The 24,139-nt window shown below is 41.9% G+C and overlaps 1 long non-coding RNA gene across 1 annotated transcript in view, besides 2 other annotated features; it reads right to left on the bottom strand.

Moving 5' to 3' along the window:
• LOC107984215 (uncharacterized) overlaps positions 1 to 24,139 on the bottom strand; it is a 99,856-nt gene that overhangs the window by 67,741 nt on the left and 7,976 nt on the right. Inside the window, exon 2 of the long non-coding RNA XR_001747394.2 lies at positions 6,311 to 6,404. This is a non-coding gene — a long non-coding RNA (uncharacterized LOC107984215). The remainder of the gene's footprint in view (positions 1 to 6,310; positions 6,405 to 24,139) is intronic.
• Positions 4,996 to 5,290: an enhancer, noted in NCBI's record as "tiled region #11378; K562 Activating DNase unmatched - State 4:PromP". NCBI's record gives its function as "activates a minimal TATA promoter and a strong SV40 promoter by Sharpr-MPRA in K562 cells {active_cell/tissue: K562}" and the evidence as "EXISTENCE:reporter gene assay evidence [ECO:0000049][PMID:27701403]".
• Positions 7,536 to 7,645: an enhancer, noted in NCBI's record as "active region_3149". NCBI's record gives its function as "activates an Ori minimal core promoter by ATAC-STARR-seq in GM12878 lymphoblastoid cells {active_cell/tissue: GM12878}" and the evidence as "EXISTENCE:reporter gene assay evidence [ECO:0000049][PMID:35858748]".

Consider the following 24,139-nt stretch of genomic DNA (forward strand, 5'->3'; position numbering starts at 1 on the left):
CATATTTTGCCAAGAAGTTGAAATAATCTAGAGATCAAGGCAGATTATTGGCCTTGAGTTGTAACTACAGTGACCGCCTCTTTTGTCAGAAGCAGAGTAGGGTGTGTCCCATTCTCAGGACCAGCTCCTTGCCCTTTGTGACTTTTTATAATAATTCTCCCACAGTCAGGGCAAATCAGAAACTGGCCAAGAAGAGGGGACTCTCTCAACACAGGGAGCAAGCAGTTTCTCTCTGACTGGAGTGTGTAAAACACGCTCCACGTAACACAGAGCAGCTCTTAAATCACTTAGATTTTCCTCTTTATGATGCCATTGCAAATTAGCTATTTTTTGCATTTGTAATTAGAACAGATGGAGAGGCCGTAGTTGGGGAGATAAATTTGCAGCAGTAACCAGGGCTGCGGCGGCCAGCGGCTGCTCCGTACTCCCTGCTGTGAGTCATCCAAGCGCCTCCCAGGAAGCAAAGGCTGCAGGACCCCCTCCTGTCTTACTTCTTTCTCATTTGGGGAGACTCCTCCTTCCCACCTACTGCGGAAAAACATCAAAAGTAGAACCTACAATTCTCGCAAATCCCCTCAGCTCCCATCTTTATCTGGCACGAATCACACGATCTCTGTCCATCAGAAATAAACACTGGGCATCGGTTTAAGAGTCACTAAAATGAAGCATTTTCCTACAAGACCCAATCGTAAGTCAAGAAACGCTTCGGAGAGAGCTAAGGCTTATAGCTAATCCATCAACACCTCCTTTTGCCTGGAAAACAAGTTCCGAGGAAACAATTGGCAAGTGTGTCCAAGCACAATGTCTGCCGCATGGTAGGTGTTTAATAAATACTCATGAGAGGATGCTTGGCTGGGAGGATAAAATATATAGAAGTCGAAAGGTCATTTTGTTGGATGAAAGGTCGTTTTCTTGGATGAAGCTATTTCTGGAGAAGCTAATCAGTCCAGGGATCCTGCCATCCTCAGCCGAGCCCCGGGGCCAGGCGAGACAGGTGGGCTGTCCCTGGAAGGTTCTGCTGTCGCTACCCCGATCCGGGCTGGACAATGGGGTACCCCTTTTCTTTCCCAGAGTGTCTGATCTGCTCTGAGAGCATGTCCAGCTGCAACCAAGAAATTGGAAGGCTTCAGCACATGAAAGGTGAACTTTCCAAAAGCCTTGGCTTCTTTCTCAACCGCGCAGGAAGAGGTTTATGTTTGGGATATTGGATAGCAGTTCGGGCCCGGTTAACACAGCTCTCCCACCACAAATCACCCCACTGCATTCTCAGATGACACTGGCCATATAAGCGCCGCTGCGTTTGCAAGACAGTCTTTTGCTGAAATGTAAAACGAGGCTGGGGAACTGGATATAAGACATTGGCATGAGGATCTGGAACTGATCTGAGACCTACTTGGAATCCTGCTTTTGTTCTGCCTGCGTGAAAACATAATTTTGATTATATGGCATATGGATAATACCACACGGGCCCTAACTACCATTCCTGTCCAACTTCAACCAGTCTGCAAAAAGTTGCTGACAGCCAACAGCTGAAGGAAGATCTTTCCACTGGTTGCAGAGAGCAGGTGTTTGTATGGTGAGGTCTTAGATGGGGTAGGACACGTTATGCTGTCTTTGTAAACTAAAACCTTGCATTTGTCACCATGTAGAGAAAACAACATTAAAAGAAATGAGTTTCTAAGAAAGAACAAACCATTCTCTGGAATTGGGTGGAACTTTTTTTGGGGGGGTAGGATCTTGCTGTGTCACACAGGCTGGAGTGCAGTGGTGCAATCTTGCTCACTGCAACCTCTGCCTCCCAGGTTCAAGCAATTCTCCTACCTCAGCCTCCTGAGTAGCTGGGATTACAGGTGCACACCACCACATCTGGCTAATTTTTTGTTTTTGTTTTTGTTTGTTTGTTTTTTAGTAGAGACGGGGTTTCACCATGTTGCGTAGGCTGGTCTTGAACTCCTGACCTCAAGTGATCCACCTGCCTCAGCCTCCCAAAGTGCTGGGATTGCAAGTGTGAGCCACCATGCCCGGTCTGGTTGAAATTTCTTGAGTATTCACCACCATATCCAGCAAAGGAAAGGAAAAATTTCGGCTTGCTGCTTATCAGTTGCTATTTCTTTCTGGATAATCTCTTTCAGATAAATAACTGACGTGGCAGACTTCCTCCTTCCCTGCATGGCCTCCTACCCAATTTCTCCCCAAGATGGCATCTGGTGACTAGGGGTCTGTAGACTACCAGGCCCCACGAAGAGACCAGTGAGAGAGAACTGCTGGCATCTGGCCTTCCTTCAAGGAGGAAGGAAATACGATGTTGGTATCATAGTCCCAGCCATTTGCCTCTGTCCATAAATTCTGTGTGCTCTCCGGTTTCTCTGTTCTAACCCCAGGCTTCTGTCAGTCTGGTGACCCCCTCTCTAGGGGACACAGTAAGTTCTAGATTCCCTACAAACTCTACAAAGGATGTGAGAGCCAGGAGCAGTAACTGCCACAGGCCACTGGCCCAGACACTTCTCCCTGCCAAAGTTCTACGACAGCTCTCTGGCATGTGGAACTTGGCATGGAATGAAACGCAGGCATCACGTGGTGTCCTGGGAGGCTCAGAGCTGTTCTGCCGCAGGGAGATACAGAATGAGAAATGATTGGCCAGGAATTACCACCAGGCAGCTGATGACCCCTGAGTGGGCTTTCGCTCACCTTCCCTGAACCCCACCCCTCATACCCAGCTCTCTCTAACCCAAAGTTCAAGAGGAAATGGCCACACCCTCTCCTGGTATCAAACAGGCAGGTGCAAACTTGGAGCGCTGAGAAACACCAATTGCCCTCTGCAATTTAATGCACATTTAGCATAAAGCAGTGAAGGGCTTAGCTTTGGCTCCTGGGGCAGGAAACAAAATTTATGTAGCTAGATCATTTGCCTTTGGTGTATGCTTTATACTATTAATAAACTAGAATGGGCTCTGAGCTCTGTGCTCTCCAGTGATGTCTAGAAATATGTGGCCGAGGGTCACCGAGACCCTCTTCAGGTCCTGGTGCAGCCTTAAGATTTCCTACGATGATTTTACAGGCACTTTTAAATTGCCACAATTTAAGGTTACTATTTCAGTGTCTGGAAGGCACGATGTCTGGAATTCATAATCTTCCCAGGAAGCTGGGACAATATATAAAACAAAATTCACAGACGTTCCCTCTTAGGTGGTGGCATTTCAGGTGATTTTGTTTTTATCTTTGTGCCTTTCTATATTAAGTTTTCTGTATCAAATATTATTACACTGACATGTAGCAGAAAATGAAAACATTTTTTCTCTTGTTAATGTTTTCTTTATCTTTTTCTTTTTTTTTTTTTTTTTTGAGATAGAGTCTTGCTCTGTCGCCCAGGCTAGTGTGCGGTGGTGTGATCTCGGCTCACTGCAACCTCCGTCTCCCCGGTTCATGCGATTCTCCTGCCTCAGCCTGCCGAGTAGCTGGGATTACAGGCGCCCGCCACCATGCCCGGCTAAATTTTGTATTTTTAGTAGAGACAGGGTTTCACCGTGTTAGCCAGGCTGGTCTGGAACTCCTGACCTCGTGATCCACCCACCTAGGCCTCCCAAAATGCCGGGATTATAGGCGTGAGTCACTGTGCCTGGCCGACAATGTTTTCATAAAGATGTTGTTTATGTTTACATGGAGTGGGTTTATTATTATTGTTTCAAATGAATTAATAAATATTTAAATTACTTTGCTTTAATTTATAGTGCTGTAAATAGCAACACACAAAAACTGCAGAAATGATATTCTTTAGAATCTTCAATATTTAGAGAATAAAGGGGTCTGAGACCAAAAAATTTAAGAACAGTGATATAGAGGATTCAATAGGATTTGGAGACAGAGGATCTACATTCAAGTTCTAGTTCTGTCACTTAACTGACATTAATTTCTGTTAAGTAACTTAAGTGCAGTCTCTGAAGTCAGACTGTCTGGGTCCCTCATTTTAGCCTCGCTGTTTGCTGGCAGTGTGGCTTTGGGTGAACCATTTCGCTTCTGTCAATAGGGATGACAATAGCACCAGGTTGCTGCGTGCCTTAAATGACATTAGATTTCTAAATGCTGACACCTATTATTAGAACACAGTAAGAGCCCAGTAAATGTTAGCAATTATTATTAGTCTGAAACATTTTTAAGTGGGAAAAAGGTCCTTCCTTTTTTATTATCTCATGGTTCAAAATAATTAATAATAAAGTGTGATTCTTTTTTCTTTTCTTTAGAGTTGAGGTCTTGCTCTGTTGCCCAGGCTTTAGTGCAGCGGCACAACCACGGCTCACTGCAGCCTCGACCTCCCAGGCTCAAGCAATCTCCCTGCCTCAGCTTCCCTAGTACCTGGGAGTACAGGTGCGTGCCACCTCGCCTGGCTAGTTTTTTCGAAGTTTTTTTTGTAGAGATGGGGGTCTCACTATATCGTCCAGGCTGGTCTCAAACTCCTGGGCTCAAGCAATCCTCCCACCTCGGCCTCCCAAACTGTTGGAATTACAGGCGTGAGCCACTACGCCTGACCGGCAGTGTGATTCTAAAGGGCCGGAAGTGATGACCAAATCCACTTTCTCCACCCTCCCCTCCTGCTTCCACGGGGAGGTAGTGACATCAACACGTACCGTTTTTTTCTAGAAGGACGTGAGCAAGGCGAGTTGTGAATCGAAGGCAACAGGAAAAGTATGAAGTGGGCAAGTTGGCACAGGTGTGTGGGGAGACACTGGGGAGACCCAGATAGCCTCAGGCACACAGATGCCTAAGACCTCCTGGACCAGAGAGACTCCCAGCATCCCCCAGTTAAGCCCAAACCGGGCTCCTTCCCTGTCCCCCTATGTACCATAGGGTCCAAAAAGACACCGGTGTTCCACTGTCTCTGGAGCTGCCCAGTCCTGCAAAACGCAGCCTCCCCTTTCCCCGCCCTCCTCTTTTCCTCTTCTCCACGCCTCTGCTCTCTTCCTTTTCTCTCTTCCTGCCGCCCTCTCCAGTTTCCTTTTGCCCCTTCCGCCTTCTCAATTGCTTACCTTCTCCCCGACCGGCCTTCTCACTCCCATCTGGGGCTGGCAGTGCTCTTCTCTGTCCAACCAGTAATAACACATGAAGGCCTTCCAGGAACCTTAGGGAAGCCTGGAGTCAAGAGCCTCCAGGACCAGGCCTAGAGACTTAAAGGTGGACTATTCTGAGGCGTTGGGCGCCCCCTAGTGGTCCCTTCATGCCACCAATTCCCACAGGATCCATAACGATAACCTTTTTTACAGAGCGGAAGGTGTCTTTAGTTAGGCTAAGTGGAGACTGAAACAAGGACCTGGCCTAATAATGCACCAAAACTGTAGAAACCTTCTCTGATCCCTTACTTTCCAAAACATTTTTTATAAGAAGGTAGGTGGAATAAAAAGCAAGTTCAGCACGGAGCCAGTGCACTTCACAACAATGCTTAATTTGTCTAGAGCCCCCAGTAAGATGCACCAACTCAAAAGCAGGGTGAGACAGATGGCGGAGTCTATAGCAATGCAGAGATGATCCTGGGAAAAGCCATGGGCAGAAGAGATGTCGATCCAGCAATAGTGGAGGCTTGACAAGGCCCTGGCACTTGCACCTGCTGATTTTTATTTAAGGACACTCAAGAGGCCAGGTGGCTCATGCCTGTAATCCAAAAGCTGTGGTAGGCTGAGGCCAGAGGATTGCTTGAGCCCAGGAGTTCAAGAGCAGCCTGGGCAACATAGTCAGATCCCATTTCTACAAAAAAAAAAATAAAGAAAGAAAGAAAATTAGCCAGGCATGCTGGTGCATACCTGTAGTCTCAGCTACTCAGGAGTCTGAGGTGGAAGGATCACTTGAGCCCAGGAGTTTGAGGCTGCAGTGAGCCATGATTGCACCACTGTGTCCCAGTCTGGGTGACAGAGCAAGAACTTGTCTCTAAAAAAAATTAAAATGCTCAGGAATAAATTTCTCTATTCTACGCATGACACACATTCCTCTGAAAAACCGCACTGTGACAGGCCACACAGCTACCTACTCAGGATGCCCCAGAAAAAGTCCCAGCCACAGATTCTGTCTCCCTTAATGACTAGAGACCTCATTCTCTTTAAATGGCAGATTGTCCCAACCGCAAATCTCTTCTGCACAGTCAGCCTGGGATGCAAACAGATTGCTTTAACGTGTAACTTTGAAAGTCAGGTTGTCATAACCTAGAACTCTGGGAAGCCTCATCATGAAATCATAAAAGCTTGTGTTTGGCTAAAGCAATGTGTTCATGTATCAGTAATTCATGCAATCCTGTACAAATGCAATTTTAACAGATGTTAGCACATACCTGAACTGGTGGAACATTTCCATTAATAACTGTCTGCTTGTTCCGGGAGGCTGGGGAGCCTTATCCTCATCTGCCGGCTTAAGTTCAGGTTAGGCTGGGGATAGAATTTCCATGTAGACATTTTTAAAGTAACAGTAGTAGACGCTTGAAAGTTTCTAGCAAATGGCAGGACATAAATATGCGACCAGCGTGACTGTTTTTGCACAGGTTCACCCACGCAGTAATTACTCCTCAGTCTTATTTGATACATGCTAATTCCTATCTTGTTCTAATTGATTTGTTTTCAGGTCCCTGGGTCTCATAGTGACAACAGTGAAACAAAGAAGAATGATGGCATTTCCCAAAAAGGAACAACAGTTCCCACATGTGTCCAAGAGGAAGAACTGGCCATGGTTGGGGCAGGGTAGTAGTGGGTTAGGTGGTAGCAGTGTCTCCATGTATAGGGAGAAGCCCAGGGCAGGTAGGCTTTGGCTGCCATCCTCTGGCACCGAAGTTCTCCTTAGCAATTGCCCATCTCATTAAGACAGAAACGCATGAGAAAGGGAGAAGACTGTCCTGGTCAGGCTGGGTGCACACACACTCTTCTGGCTATTGCTGGAGTTAAGGCCCAGAAAGATCTTTTTTTTTGAGATGGAGTCTCGCTCTGTCACCCAGGCTAGAGTGCAATGGCACAATCTCGGCTCACTGCAACCTCTGCCTCCTGGGTTCAAGTGATTAGAAAGATCTATTCAGAGTGCTGATGGGCCAGGTGCGGTGGCTCATGCCTGTAATCCTAGCACTTTGGGAGGCTGAGGCGAGCGGATCACTTGAGGTCAGGAATTCCAAACCAGCCTGGCCAATGTGGCGAAAACCTGCCCCTACTAAAAATACAAAAAAATGCCAGGCGTGGTGAGGCATGCCTGTAATCCCAGCTACTAGGAAGGCTGAGGCAGGAGAATGGCTTGAACCCAGGAGGCAGAGGTTGCAGTGAGCCGAGACTGTACCACTGCACTCCAGCCTGGGTGGCAGAACAAGACTCCATCAAAAAAAAAAAAAAAAAAAAAAGTGCTGATGGCAGCACTTATCTTTTAATTGCACATTCCGATGGAACGTTCTTGTCACAATTTTATAGAAACCATTGTAAAATGCAGATGTGGACATGCACTTAAAACAGGGGTCACAGAGGCTGTTAAAGGACACAGAAAAACAGAGGGGAGACAGAGATTGGGTGACTCAAGTGCTAATATTCTTCTGTCTGGAGTAACAAGGTTGTTGCAGTTCAAGAAATAATGTGTTCTATAGTATCTGGTTATCTGTCTCCGATGTGCCCTTTGTCATGGTTGGGTACTCAGCCATGGGCTGTGCCCATGTTCAGGTGGCTCCTCAGAAGATTGGCTACTAACTACCCAATTTGCTGACACCATTATCTAATTGTAAGCAGTCAAGTAATTACTGACGCCATTAACTAAGGCTTAGGAGTGGTGTTCCCAAACCACAAGCCACTTTAAAAGAGAAGTGGTCCTCAGTGTCCCAGCTATTAACTATGACCCTGTATTTGCTAACCTGGCTAGACTGCAGTACAGGAAGCTGAAATGTGCTCTCTGTACTCATAGCATGATTCAATTCAAGGCACCTGTTCTCACACTAGACTGACGGAGCAGCAGTTCTCACACTTCAGCGGGCATCAGAATCAGCTGGACGCTGATGATTCCTGGGCCCCATTTTCAGAAATAGCCATTCTATTAGGCCTGGGATGAGGCCTCAGAATTTGCACTGTTAACAAGCTCCAGGTGAGCCTGCTTCTCTGGTCTGGGGCCACGCTTTGAGAACCACTTGCCTAGAATCTGAAAAAAATCTCCCACTTAGGCTAGCCTGAGTCTTTTTCTTTTTTTTTTTACATAGAGACAGGGTCTCGCTCTGTTGCCCAGGCTGGAGTGCAATGGTGTAATCATAGCTCACTGCAGCCTCAATCTCATGAGCTCAAGCAATTCCCCCACCTCAGCCTCCAAAGCAGCTGGGACTACAGGTGTATACCACCACATCTGGCTAATTTTTGTATTTTTTGGAGAGATGGGGTTTTGCCATGTTGCCCAGGCTGGTCTCGAACTCCTGAGCTCAAGTGATCCTCCTGTCTCAGCCTCCCAAAGTGCTGGGATTACAGGCATGAGCCACTGCACCTGGCTAGTTTCACTCTTTCTTTCCCAATGTCTGTGTAGCAAGAAATAGGACAGATGCTACTCAGTCCTGAAAAGTAAACTATCACCTTGGCTTACAACTGAAAGAGATGTGCAGTTTTGTGAATTTCTGAATCAAAGTCTCTTTATTAATAACCCACGCAATTCCCATTTTAGCCTTCTTTTTTTTTTTTTTGAGACGGAGTCTCGCTCTGTCGCCCAGGCCGGACTGCGGACTGCAGTGGCGCAATCTCGGCTCACTGCAAGCTCCGCTTCCCGGGTTCACGCCATTCTCCTGCCTCAGCCTCCCCAGTAGCTGGGACTACAGGCGCCCGCCACCGCGCCCGGCTAATTTTTTTTTGTATTTTTAGTAGAGACGGGGTTTCACCTTGTTAGCCAGGATGGTCTCGATCTCCTGACCTCATGATCCACCCGCCTCGGCCTCCCAAAGTGCTGGGATTACAGGCGTGAGCCACCGCGCCCGGCCTAGCCTTCTTAATGCCCTGGAGAGATTAGCACTAGAAACAAGAACACAAAATTGCAAAATGAATAACCTTCCGGTGCCCTGGAGAGATTAGCACTAGAAACAAGAACACAAAATTGCAAAATGAATAACCTTCCGGTGACAGCTGTGACCACACTGAGGGCATTGGAGCCAAATAAAAGTATACTCAACTGCTTGTTTATCTCATTTTGGACTCTGCATATATTCAGTCAGTCGAAGCTCTGAGATGCCTGAGACAAGGAATGAAAAGTAAGGAATTAATATCTCAATGCAACAATTCAAAACTGAGAAAAGAAGGTCGGGCACAGTGGCTCAGGCCTGTAATCCCAGCACTTTGGGAGGCTGAGGTGAGGGGATAACTTGAGGCCAGGAGTTCAAGACCAGCCTGGCCAACATGGCGAAACCCCGTCTCTACTAAAAGTACAAAAATTAACTGGGCGTGTTGGCGGGCACCTATAATTCCAGCTACTTGGGAGGCTGAGGCAGGAGAATCACTTGAACCCAGGAGGTGGAGGTTGCAGTGAGCCGAGATTGTACCATTGCACTCCAGCCTGGGCAACAAAAGCGAAACTCCATCTCAAAAAACAAAAACAAACAAAAAAATACTTGCTGATGCAGAGTGAACTCTCCACTGGACCTTCCTCTTTCAGAACGCTCCAGAACAAAAGTTGGCAGCAGGCCCTGTGTGCTTGTATTCCCCAAACTCCAGAGAATTCATGTCAAGTATTCTAAAAAATTCTCCCACCACTCTTTAGTCTGGCTTGTTAAGCCTCTGGCCAGGGGATCAGAGGCAAGTCTCCCTTCTTGCAGGCACTCCAATTTCCATAAATTCTATGTTGGAGAAAAGGAGAGAACTTAAAGAAAATAATAAGGAAGGCAGGGTTTCCCAGAACACTTTTTACCTGATCAGGAAGTGGAATAGAATAAAAGTCCTCAGGAAAAGAACTAGGATATCATTTCCCTTCTCTAAAGGATATTTTGTGGCTCATGGCTGTAATTCCAGCAATCTGGCAGGCTGAGGCAGAGGATCGCATGAGCCCAGGAGTTCAAAACCAGCCTGGGCAACACAGCAATACCCATTTCTACAAAAAAAAAAAAAAAAAGCCAGACATGGTGGCATGCATCTGTGGTCCCAGCTACTCAGGAGGCTGAGGCGGGAGGATCACTTAAGCCCAGGAGCTGAAGGCTGCAGTGTGCTATGATGGCACCACTGCACTCCAGCCGGGGTGACAAAGAGAGACCATGTCTCAAAATAAATGAAAAAATGAATGTTTGTGCCTCAAAATTCTTAGAATATTGACTCAAATTAGGATGAGATTCTGATTTCCTTCTTAGTGGAGCTCCCAGAAAGATTAGCTCCTAAAAATTTACTCTGAAGAGGAAAAAGAAACACATTGGTGTAAGTGACCTTCCAGACGCCTATTGTTCATCATGGTGTGAGTGCTGTGATATTCTCTTTCACTGTTTGGGAGCCACACTATCCCTTAGCCTTGCAAAAGGGAGCTCCTTCTGCGTTCTGTCTTACAACACAGGAAGATAGCACCTCATGGACCAAAGAGAGTCTTCAGCTGCCTTGACTTGTCAGGCATTCCTGTGTTAGGATTGACAGAGCATTCCTGGCTGGCACTTAATGAGTGTGCATGCCTGACTTAAGTTTTCCATTAGTGGCCTGTGTGTGCGCTGGGTTGTGGGGAGTGTTAAAATTTTTGACTTAACATAGTTTGGCAAATGACACAAGTCTTGTAAAAAACTAAATAACAGAGCCCAAGTGCAGTGTATCATGCCTGTAATTCCAGCACTTTGGGAGGCTAAGGTGGGAGGATCACTTGAGCCCAGGAGTTTGAGACCAGCCCGGGCAACATTGTGAAACCGCATCTCTACAAAAAATACAAAAATTGGTTGGGCATGATGGTATGTGCTTGCAGTCCCAGCTACTTGGGAGGCTGAGGTGGGAGGATTACTTGAGCCCAGGAGATAGAGACTGCAGCAGTGAGCCAAGATCACACCACTGTACTCCAGCCTGGGTGACAGAGCAAGACCCTGTCTAAAACAAAACAAACATACAAAAAGGAAAAAAATCAAAAACATACAGGGATCAGTAGAGTTCCTGGAATTCAAGGAATGTTAGATATTGGTTCTTATTTATAACCTAACATAGTTCTCATAAATAACCTGCTTGCTCTTTTCTCTATGTCTGTCTGTTTGCTCTGGTATTCTGTTTTTGTTTTTATTTTATTATATATTTTTTTGAGACAGGGTCTCACTCTGTTGCCCAGGCTGGAGTGCAGTGGAGCAATCATAGCTCACTGCAGCCTCCAACTTCCAGGCTCAAGCAATCCTCCTACCTCAGCCTCCTGAGTAGCTAGGACTACAGGTGTGCACCAGCACACCTGGTTAATTTTTGTATTTTTTTGTAGAGACGAGGTCTCACTTTGTTGCCCAGGCTGGTCTTGAACTCCTGGGCTCAAGTGGTCCTCCTGCCTCAGCCTCCTAAGTGTTGGGATTACAAGCTGCACTGCTACTCTTGCATCTTCCAGCTTCCCCAATTCTCTCTCTATCCATACCTCCTTCAAATCTCACTCCTTTTAGGAAACTATCCCGGATTTTCCCAGCTTATCCCCAGTTGTGTTTTCATTCACGTGAATCTACATATTAACTGCCAGAGTTGGTTAGAGGTGCATGAAGATGGAAATAATACCTTGTCCTTCATTTTATGACCTTCCACAAACACGTAATAAATACTTGTTAAGTCCTTAAACGAGGTAGCAGTCACAGTATGGTGAGTTTGCAGATGATGCCTCTTTAATTCATAATTTGAAAGTATAACGTTCTATAAAATTATAAATAATAACTAATCAAGAAGTAGATGATTTTTATTCAAGTGAAGATTATTTATTAACAAAAGCATGAAAATAGATGCTACCCTGTGTGGATAATTACTAGATCCACATGAACTTGGCTTTCAGAGAAGTGGAATGTGATGTTCTGCTTTTTCATTTGTAAGTCAATCATCCAAAAACCCAGACAGATCTAGGCAAGGAAAGAGAAGGGAGGTAAAATGTAATCAACATAGGCTGCAATGGCCTGCTTATTCAGCTGTTAAGACATGCAGTAAAATGGAAACTTTTAAATAAAGTGTATGCATTCATTATAACAAAAAAATGAATACATTTAATCAAAACATGGGCCTTTAGGATAATAAACGGAGAACAAAAAATAGAATGTGTTGAGATAATCAAGACAAAATAGCTATGATCGTTTTGATCATCTCGATTTCACTATGGCCCTCCTACAGGGTCCTGTAGTGCATAAAAGTTGTTGGAAAAACAGCTCCGCCTCTAAAAAACACAAGGGAACCAGAAGAGGTCAATCTTGCATTTGCATAGTGAAGCATAAAGAATCTGCATTAGAGGTCAGAAAATACAAGTTATTGATCTGTGTCTAATCCTTTAGGTGTGTGAAACTCGGTAAAGTATCAGCCTCTATGGATCTCATTTGGCTAAAATGCAAATAAAGAGTTTGAATCTGATGACCTCTAAGGCCCCTTCTGGTCTAAAATTCAGCACAATGCTTGCAAAGGCTTGGAAGAATCAACTCCTATTACTCTGTGTGTTCAGTTCTTAATTATGAATGGTAAGATGACTGCATCTTTAAAACATTGTCATTTCATGAACCTGTCATGGGTTGACTACTCTCTAGCTTTGCCATGATGTGGATAGGCATGAGGGTGGGGTTTCACTTTATCATGACGAAAGCCACAGTACAGACCGTACATTTTCTGCTATATACTTGGAAAGGAGACACTTTCTCAGACTAGAAAATGAATCAGAAGATTGAGGGAAGTTAGGAAGCATGAATCAGGGTTCCTTGGCCTTGTTGGGAAAAAAAAAAAGACAGATTTTTGAAACACTCTTGAGTGAGAATTGAGACCGTGCTCATACAGGCATAAGCAAGTCAGGAAAATAAGGCAAGCAAATTTTATGAAAGGTATGTTTTCCGGCTGGGCGCTGTGGCTCACGCCTGTAATCCTAGCACTTTGGGAGGCCGAGGCGGGCAGATAACTTGAGGTCAGGAGTTGGTGACCAGCCTGGCCAATGTGGTGAAACCCTGTCTCTACTAAAAATGCAAAAATTAGCCAGGCCTGGTGGAGGGCACCTGTAATCCCAGCTACTCAGGAGGCTGAGGCACGAGAATCACTTGAACCTGGGAGGCAGAGGTTGCAGTGAGCCGAGATTGTGCCACTGCACTCCAGCCTGGGCGACAGAGTGAGACACCATCTCAAAAATGTTTTCCTAAGCTTTCTAAACCTAGCTGTTTATATAGTTTATAAACGTAAATCCCTCTCTATTCCTCAGAAGTAAAATTCTAGTATTTGCAGATTTAGTGTTGTATAAAACTTTTTTGTAGTTGCCAGAATTCCAGTTTGCATATAAGCAAAGCTTGAGTCACTCCTATTAAGGATAATTAGAAAAAGAAGGAGCTGGATATAGAGAAGGGGAAAAGAGAGAAGCATGAAAACAGTAGAAATATTTTTTCAGTGCCACATTATAAAAACAAATAAATTAAAATGTAATATTTCTTCCCCCAAACATGAAGATTTGTAGCTCTAAAAACTCCTGAGCTGACTTTTGGTTCTGGTCATGATGAACTAAGAAGTATCAGACTTAACACTTCCAAAATAATAAGCACAAAACTGGACAAAATGCATGAAGCAGCTGTTTTCAGTCATAGACAACAGAGAGCAAAGGGTTGTGATTTTTAGAAGAAAGGAAACAGTACACTTGCCATGACAGGCTTGGAAGGTACCCGGGGGCAGCTTCCACACTGTGCAAGAGGAAAGTGGAACCCAAACAGATAGCAGTGGTCTCACTGTGCTAAGGAAACAGCAATTTGGTTCAAGGCTGTTAAGGCAGCTAGAATTTGGGGGTTAGAATGCTATAGAGGAGACAGCTTCTCAGAAGAGGAGCTGCAGAAGTCCTGGATTCACAAAGCGTCTTTAAATCCTTAAATCTTTGGCTGAAGACAAAGTTGCGCACATGGAGGGTAAGACTCTGTGGGGCAGAGAACAGCTACTGAGGACCTCTGAGCTGAGCAGCGCAGAGGTTCCAGAGGTCACCTGGAGCTGGAAGATGTCAAAGTTCCAACCAGTCAGTGTGGAGAAAACTTGCTGAACATCTCAGGTATTCAGTTGAGAGCCTAGAAAGGCCACATCTAAAACACGGACTACCCAAGACCTGCCCTAACAAAGCCTAAAACAAGTCTTAGCAAAATCACACTAATCCATCAGTAAAGTAACTGGATGCCAGAAGTGAACCAACATACTTAAAAAAAAAACATCAAAATCCAGCACTGGCAGCATTCTCAAAGTCCAGCATACAATAAAAAATTACTAGCTGTGACAAAAAGCAGGAAGAAAGTGGACCACAATCAGGAAGAAAATAAATTAATAGAAGCCGACCGAAAGATGACACATGTTGGAATTCTTGGACAGGACTTTAAAACAGCTATTATAAATTTGTTCAAGGATTTAAAGGAAAAGATGAACTTAAGGAGTTAACAGATACAGAATCTCAACCAAGAAATGAGAAATATAAAAACAAGGAAGCAAATAGAAATTATAGACCTAAAAAATAAAATGTTTAAAATATAATATTTAATTGTATTGATTTAACAGTAGATTAGCACTGCACAAGAAAAGGTCAGTGAACTTGCAGACAGCATATCAAAACTGAAGCACAGAGAGAAAAAAATAACTTAAAAACATGGACAGAGCTTCAGTGCCTTGTGAGACAGCATCACATAATCTAATAAACACAAAGTCACAGAAGAGGAGGAGAGAGAGATTGAGACAGAAAAAAAAATCTAAAGAAATAATGGCTGAACAATTTTCAAATTCATGGAAAAATTTCAACCCACAAATTGAAGAATTTCACAAGCCTTAGTTAGAACATAGTGATATTCACATCTAGGCACCATAGTCAAAATGCTGGAAATCAAACATTAAAATCAGCTGGTGGGGCTGGGGGACAAATCACTTTACATGTAGGAGAATAAGATAATTGTTGACATCTCCTAATACAGTACAAGCCAGAAGTCAATGAAATAACATCTTTAAACTGCTGAAGAGGCAGGAGGGGTTTCTATGGGGAACTGTCAATCTAGAATTCTATAAATGGGAGAAACATCTTTCAAAAATGAAGGTGAAAAGACATTTTCCGAAAAACAAAACTGAGAGACTTTGTTGTCAGCAAGCCTGCACTACAATAAATGTTAAAGCATGTTCTTTAGGCTGAAGGGAAATAATACCAGTTGGAAACTCAAATCTGTACAAAGAAATAAAGAACACCGGAAATAGTAAATATATAGATAAATGTAGAAGAACCTTTTTCATTTTTAAAATGTTTTCACAGGTAAATTAAAGCAAAAATAGGACTGTGTCTGGTGGCTCACAGCTATAATCCCAGCACTTTGGGAGGCCTAGGCAGGTGGATTGCTTGAGTCCAGGAATTCGAGACCAGCCTGAGCAACATGGCAAAACCCTGTCTCTAAAAAAAAATTTAAAAATAAAAAATAAATAAAGCAAAAATAAAACAATGTGCTGTGGGGTTTATGGTGTATGTTGAAGTAAGATGTTTACAGCACAAAGACCAGAATGTGGTAAGTGGATGTGCAGTCACCCCTCAGTATCCTTGAGGAATTGGTTCCAGGACCTCCTACGGATACCAAAGTCTGCAGATGTTCAAGTCCCTTATTAAGAATGGCATAGTATTTGCATGCAACCTACTCACATCCTCCCATATACTTTAAATCATCTCTGGATTACTTCTAATACCTAATACAATGTAAATGCTATATAAATAGTTGTTATCTTATATTTTTATTTGTATTTTATATTGTTATAGTGTTATCTTTTATTGTTTTTTAAAATATTTTCTGTCCATGGTTGGTTGAATGCCCAGGTGCAGAACCTGTGGATATGGAAAGCCAGCTGCATATAGTTTAAGATTTTATATGAGAACTGGTATAATAGACTGCATGTAATAAGGATGTAATCGTAACCTCCAGAGCAACCATTAAAAACAAATACAAAGAGGCATGACTCAAAAATTCAACACAGGGAAAAACAGAGAACCAAAATGCCAAAAACTCAATTAATGCAAAAAATCAGGGAATGAGATTTTAGAGAAAACAAAAAACATTTGGGACAAATGGAAAACAAATAGCAAATAAGCCCCTGAGTCAAGTGTAATGATTCCTGGCGGGACTTAGCTTCTATGGGAAAAGCCCTTATAAATATTATTATAGTCACTAAATCACATAGCCATGGCAGTCCACAGGCTCAATAGTAATATCTATGATAATTTATACACATTAAACTTGTATGAATGGGTTATTAATAATTTCCATTTACTATCTTGTAATCAAGAGAAATTTTTTAGAACCTTCTTACCCAGCAGTTTCAACAAGAATTCTGCTTTGCTGCAGATAAAATACATTTTGAGACTAAGAGCTATTTCCACAATGATTGAAGTATTTCTGATTCTATGACTGGGAGTTGCTTGGGATAGTCTTGGGGATAGACTTTTATTTAAGCTGCCTGGTCCAGACATTCTGAGTATCTGATGCCCTAGCTTCCTGAAGGAGGCAGTGGGGGAGATGAGACTTGAGCACACAGACCTGCAGTGGGAGTGTTGCACAGTCCTCGGCATGAACCCTGAGGTTGCCCAGCTGCTGGACTGGAGAGAAAGACACTAAACCAGGCGCACATGTCCCCAGTGAATGCGGGAGAGTGACCCAAAGGTTGACAGATGGCAGGACTGAGAAACAGATCATGGGTGTTTGTAGACCTAAGTAACCTGAGCCTCAAAGCAGGAGTTTGTTTATGGCCGAAGTGGAATTCCAGAGGACTTGCTGGGAGGAAGGGTGAATCTAGGGTACCACAAAATCAGATTATGGGAGGGGACAGGTAAATGGAGGAGGCTTAATTCACTGTTTATTTCTTTCTGGTTTTCCTTTTGCATGTGCTCATGTTGTTTAGGAATTGTTAGTCTGCCTGGGCTGGGCTAAACGGAACGCAGTAAATTTGTTGTTGCTGTTGTTATTTACAACAGAGCAGGACACTGGACACTGACTGTTCCCAAAAGGAAAGGACGGAATTGAGACCCACGTGTGGACGCTTTCTCCAGTTTTGGAGATGTTCTTTCTAGAGCTCTTTCTTGCAAAACTCTTGGAGGGCTCCGGATTTCATATATGGGGGCAGATTCTTCCGTTACTGAGAATGGCTCAGATTTAATTCCATCACTGCTGCTGTAATGTGAACACGAGCAGCTTAACCTCCACGTGGTTCATTTTCCCCACCCATAAACTGTGGAATGGGATATTTACAATGTACCCAACTGATGGGGAGTCTCATAAAACAAAGTAATTACAAAGACTTTTATGTAGTGTGTGTGTGATAAAATAAAATTGACTGCATTTCTACAGCTTTTAAAATAATCCATAATGAAGTCAATGTGCCATTTTACAATGACTAATGAAATTTAATTTAAATACAAACTTTAGTAATTTATAAAATTGAAAAAAAAAAGCCAAGGATCCAGTTGAATGATGAACACTATTTTCTTGTTTTCTATTGACCTCTTGGTAATCATAAAAGCCAACTTATTACCTACATCAAAAATTTTGTAAGTCTATTAAGTTTCTAGAGGTGATTTTTACTCCATTATCTTGGTAGTATTTCTGAAAAGGCATTAAATACAAGGACTAGTTTCTCCATCTGCTCTGCAACTCTGATTTCCTTGTTTCTAGGGAAATTTACAAAGCTTCTCTTTGAAAAACAAAACAAAACTACTCCATAGCCATCAAATTAAAGAAAAACGTTTGCTCAAGTCCTAATTTTTTTCCTAAGGTAAAACTTCCTTTTCAATCCTGCAGTATAAATTGGACTTTTAGGACTTGCTGAAAGCAGTGTCGGGGGTCAGTTTCCACTGTAGAGTTGTCCTTATAACAAGCTCTGGAAGCATCTTGCTTCATGTTGCCTTGGACCAGATGCCAGTCAAACGAGCAAAAAAGCAAGCCCAGTTATGTAATTATTTTCCAAACCCAATGTCTTGATGCTTTGTTTTACTTTTAAATGTGGCCAATTTCAAACGCCTCTGGGCTCATGGGCAACATTTAAACAAATAACACTCACTGACGCAGAGCCCCAGGCAGCCTCTCTCTTACTCAGTCAGGTTTCAGCTGTCTGCATGGCAAAGGTCCTAAAAGAAAGATTTTGCACAAAGCTTCTGAGGTCAAGAAACCCAAGGCTATGTGGAATAATTTGCTCTTACTTCTTTTTCCATGGTTCTGATTTTTAAGTACGGGGGATTACCCATTGCCTGTAGCTCATTAATCACGGTAGCTTTTGATTATGAAAAGTGCTGTCCAAAAGATAGGACTCTGAGGACTTGGCAGGGAGGTTCTCTGCCCGTCCCTTGAACGTGCCAGAACACCCTGAACTCTGCCAACTATGATTACACTTGGCATTAATTGAAGATGCTGAGAGATATAAGCCTTCCTGAGTTTAGCCACCTGGAGCAGATTAAAATCTGGGTCCTGCCGGTGAGGAGGTCTGAGGGATTGGGAATACAAGGCTGTTTTAATCTTTTCCAAGTCAGGCTGTTTAGAAATATCCATACATCAAATGTTCATGGATCTCATACAATTTCCTTCTCAGGGGAGAATTCAATTACCAGTAACATGAAGTGGGATTAACTTGTTGTGGTGAGCCATCTGGAGACAGAAGATTCACCATCCCCTGTAAATATGTTCAGAGATTTGCCCCCATGATTTCAAAGAAGTTGCTGAAGGTGCTCAAAGGCACAATGATGTTTGCTCTGAAAGCCTTGTTCAGTGGACCCAGTGAAATTAAGATGCAACTAGAGGATAATCTAGACCTTCCTCCATGCTGAAATACTTCTCTGCCACAAGAGGGTGATATTTGGGTTTCAAGGACCAGACTATTTGTAAAGATACAACAAGAGCCGGTGGAAGCCGGGTGCGGTGGCTCACACTTGTAATCCCAGCATTTTGGGAGGCTGAGGTGGGAGGATCACTTGAGCCTAGGAGTTCAAGACCAGCGTGGGGAACATAGTGAGACCTTCTCTCTACAAACACATACAAAAATTAGCCAGGCATGGGGGTGCGTGTCTTTAATCCCAGCTACTCAGGAGGTTGAGGCAGGAGGATTGCTGGAATCTTGGAGTTGGCCACTATAGTTAGCCATGATTGCATCACTGCACTTCAACTGAGCAACAGAGTGAGACCCTGCCGCCGCCCACCTCGCCCCCCGACAACCCCTGCCAAAAAAAAAGAGCCAGTAGAACCGTCCTGGAACCATACTTCATATGTAAACAAAGGCTCATGAAAATGGAAGTGCATGGACTGGAGGACTAGCAGAGAAATTACTGAGTTAGAATTCAGCTTTCTAGATTTTTATTCTAGAATGCCAGATAGATAGGGGTGGTTCCCTTGAGGAAAAAAGGAACACATTTAGATTAGCCTCAGAAAGTAAAGGACCCAAAGGAGCACTAGAGGCAGCAAAAGTCTTCACATATGAATGGAAGAAAAGTAATTGGCAGAGTGTGGGGATAAAGACAAGATGCCTCAGACATGAAGAGCCCAGGAGATCAATGACCAGAGGCGGAGTTCCCTGGACCAAACCCAGATTCATCCTGAAATAATGCCAGTCTGCAGAGTAGGAAAGATGCCAGGCCTCTGGAGGGGAAACTCACCTCTGCTAAAAGGTAAGTGCTAGCCCACCAATTTGGCCAGAAAACCTCTGTGATATGGGAACAGAACCAGATAGATCAGAATAATAAAATACTATTTTTATATTGGTTTTACTAACTGTTCATCATATTTAAATTCATATTTAAATATTAAAATCACCAACAAACTATATACAAAGTATCTTCTTTAACTTGCAAATAAATTATGATACATCCAAACAATAGTGAAGCCATTAAAATTACACACACACACACACACACACACACACTGATTGAATTTTGAGCAATATACATAAGCTTTCGAGATGCATTTGGTAAGACTAGAATAAGCTTAATTTTTAAAAAGCAGGCAATGGAACTAAGAGAAAAGAAAATTATAAACTAAACTCAATTTTGAACATAAATGCAAAAATCCTAAAAAAGACATTGGGAAACCAAATTAAATGCATGTTTTAAAATAACAAATCACGTCATGACCAAGTATGGTCATGAAAATGACCTGAAAATTTCAATGATGACTTAGCATTAGTAGAAACTCTATTAATATAATACACTACATTAACACAGTAAAAGAGAAAAATTATATGATTATCTCACTGCAGCAGGAAAGTCAACAAATAAAATCCAACGCTCATTCATGACAAAAACTCTTAGTAAACTAGGAATAGAAAGGAACTTCTATATCCTAATAAAGATTAACTACCAAAAATCTCCAACAATCTATGCTCTGTATCGGGGAAATGTTAGAAGCATTTCCTTTAGAGTCAGGAACAAAACAAGGGCACCTGCTATCACTACTTCTATTCAACATTGAATGGGGGTCTCAGCCAGCACAATAAGAAATTAAAGGTATTGGACAGGAAAGGAAGAAAGATGATGTGATAATGAGATTGTTTTCATAGAAAATCTAAGAAATTCTTCAAGACACATTGTTGAATGCAAGAAGGGAGTTTGGCAAGATTACTCGGTAAAATACAGTCATATACCATATAATGACATTTCTTTCAACAATAGGCCACATATACCATGGTAGTTCATTAAGATTATCATACTGTATTTTTACTGTACCTTTTCTATGTTTATATATGCTTAGATACACAGATACTTGCCATTGTGTTAACAATTGTCTACAGTATTTAGTATAGTCACATGCTGTACAGGTTTGTAGCCTAGGAGCAGCAGGCTATACCATATAGCCTAGTTATGTAGTTGGTTGTACCATCTACGTTTGTGTAAGTACACTCTATGATGTTTACACAATGACAAAATCACCTAATGATGCATTTCTCAGGATGCCTCTCTCTTCGTTAAGCAATACATGACTGTATAAATATACTAAAATTACCCTCAAATACACAACAAGAAGAAATTAGAATGTTTAACACACACACAATAGCAACAAAGGTTACAAGGTTTCTATGAATAAATATAAGAAAAGATGTACAAGCCCTTTATGGACAATAGCATAAAACTATAGAAAAATATAAAAGAAAACCTAAGTTTTCTTTTAGTACTTCATTATTTTAACTTATTATTTTAATTTCAAATGTTATTTTAAAAAGCAGCAACTGTCTGCCTCTTACTCTATAAATTCAAAGCAATTCCAATCAACATTTCAATAGAATTTTTTTATGCTACTAGACTTCACATGGAAGGTGATTCTATATTTCACTTGTATGAATGGAGAGCCAAAAATAGCCAATACATTTTTGAAGAAGGAAAATTTATATTTGCCAAATACTAAGGCTTAATATGAAATGATAGTATTGATCCAGCTATCTCACTTCTGAGTATATATCCAAAGGAATTGAAATCAGCATGTTGAAGAGACATGTGCATTCCCATGTTCATTTCAGCATTAGTCACAATAGCCAAGATATTAAAGCAAGCTAAGTGTCCATCCACAGATAAATGGGTAAAGGAAATGTGGTATATCTACACAACAGAATACTATACAGCCTTTAAAAAGAAGGAAATTCTGTCATTTGCAACATGGATGAACCTGGAGGACAGTGTGCTAAGTGAAATAAGCCAGGCACAGAAAGACTATATGATCTCATTTATACGTGGAATCTAAAAACATTGATTTCATAGAAACAGAAAGTAGAATGGTGGTTATCAGAGCCAGGGAGGAGTGGGGAGCAGTGGGAGAAGGCAGGGAAAGAGCAGATGTTGGTCAAATGGTACAAAGTTTAATTGGACAAGAGGAATAAGTTTTGGGTATCTTAAGCCACAGCATGGCAGCCATAATTAATAACAATGTATTGTATATTTCAAAATTACTTAAAGAATAGGTTTTTAAACATTCTTACCACAAAAAAAGTGATAAGGGGTGAGGTGATAGATACATTAATTAGCTTGATTTAATCTTTCTATACTACATCATTTTGAATACCACAAATAGATGCAATTATTGATTATTAATTAATTTTAAAATTACAGTATTGAAACTGGTATTGGTACAGAGCTAGAAAACTGGTCAATGGAACAGAATATACTTTTTAATAAATGGCTTATTAAATGGACATTTAATAAATGACTCTGACAACTAGCTCTCTATGTGGAAAAAGACTAAATTAGATCCCTACATCACACTATACCCCAAATGCATTTTCAAGTGGACTAAAAACTGAAATGTGAAGCTTTAGAAGACAACCTAGGAGCATATCATTATTACATAAGATTCATTAGAATAAATAAAATAGATTTTAAAAATCCATAGCTGAAAATTTAAAAAAAATTGACTGAGAAAACAAGGTGGAAACGGATACCTACAGTAATGACAAGAATATGTACTGTTTGTAGAAAATTATATGCACACATATGGGAATAAACATGATAAAAGTGCATAAATAAACTATAAGCATAAAGCTAGACAAATTTAACTACTTAAAAAACAAAATATCTATAGAAAAAAATATCATGAGCAAAGTAAAACTCCAATCCACATAATGGAAGAAAATAATTGGAATCCATATATTCAATAAACAGTTGATGTGCATAATAATAAAGGATTCCAATAAGGCTGTAATAAAAAAGAAATACTCGGAAAGAAAGAGACAACATGTCCACAATTCAGAAGGAAAGCCGCAGTGGCCAGTAAATATCTGAAAAAATTCTAAATCCCATTAACAATCAGGGAACTGAAAATTAAAAATCAATGAGACCCCATTTTGTACCCACCACATAGGCAAAAACTAGTAAATCTCATAACATCAAATATTGGGGAAGATGTAGGGAAAACAGGAACCCACAGACACTGCAGGTACAACTACTTTGACGAATGATGGGGAGTCCTAGGAAAACTGAAGATGAGTGTATTCTTTGATCCATGAGTTCCATTTCTAGATGTCTACTCTAATGAAATCTTGCATGCACAAGGAGACTTGTATGAAGCTGTTCATTGTAGCATGGTTTGTAATAGCTAAAGAATGAAAGCATTTCAATTTTCTGAACTAGTCCATTTTCTCACTGCAGTAAAGAAATACCTGAGACTGGGCATTCTATAAAGAAAAGAAGTTTAATTGGCTCACAGTTCCACAGGCTGTACAGGAATCATGGCTAGGGAGGCCTCAGGAAACTTACAGTCGTGGCAGAAGGTGAGGGGGAAGCAGGCATGTCTTACCTGGCCAGAGCAGAAGGAAGAGAGAGAGGTGGGAGGGGCTACACACTTTCAAACAACCAGATCTCACGATAACTCACTCACTCTCATGAGAACAGCACTAAAAGGAAAATCCACCCCCAAGATCCAGTCCCACACTGGGGATTACAACTGGACATGAGATTTTGGCGGGGGACATAGACTCAAACCACATCATGTCTATAAGGAGGATAATGGATATCCTCCAGTTTATTGATACAATGGATTCTCTTCAACAGCTAAAATGAAAGAACTCAAACTCTCTCTCTCAATAAATCTTTTAAAAGCATAATACTGAATGATAAATTCAAGTTGCAAATGTATACAGACAGTATGATACCTCTCGTGAGGTTTTAAAATACACTGAATGATGGCTTAAACTCTTTTAACATACAGTCATCTGTTAAAAAAGTACAAAAACACACATGGAAATGGGGAGAAAGATAAGGAAAGGAGGAGAATGGGGAATGAGAATTTACATGTATTTCCATGTTTAGTCAACAGAGAGAGAGAGAGATTGGGCAATGTTGGAAGACAGGAGTCTGAGGCAAATATTTAAAACTTTTAACCTCTGCATGTTAGTACACTCTGCTTGTTATAGATATGTTACATTGTAGTCTTTGTTTTCTGGATATTTTAAGTATCTCATAATTATGTAATAATTTTTAAAAGATACTCCTGGCCAGGCGCCATGGCTCATGCCTGTAATCCCAACACTTTGGGAGGCTGAGGTAGGAGGATCATTTGAGCCCAGGAGTT

The sequence above is a fragment of the Homo sapiens genome, chromosome 10 (assembly GCF_000001405.40).
Source record: "Homo sapiens chromosome 10, GRCh38.p14 Primary Assembly".
Lineage (NCBI taxonomy): Eukaryota > Metazoa > Chordata > Mammalia > Primates > Hominidae > Homo > Homo sapiens.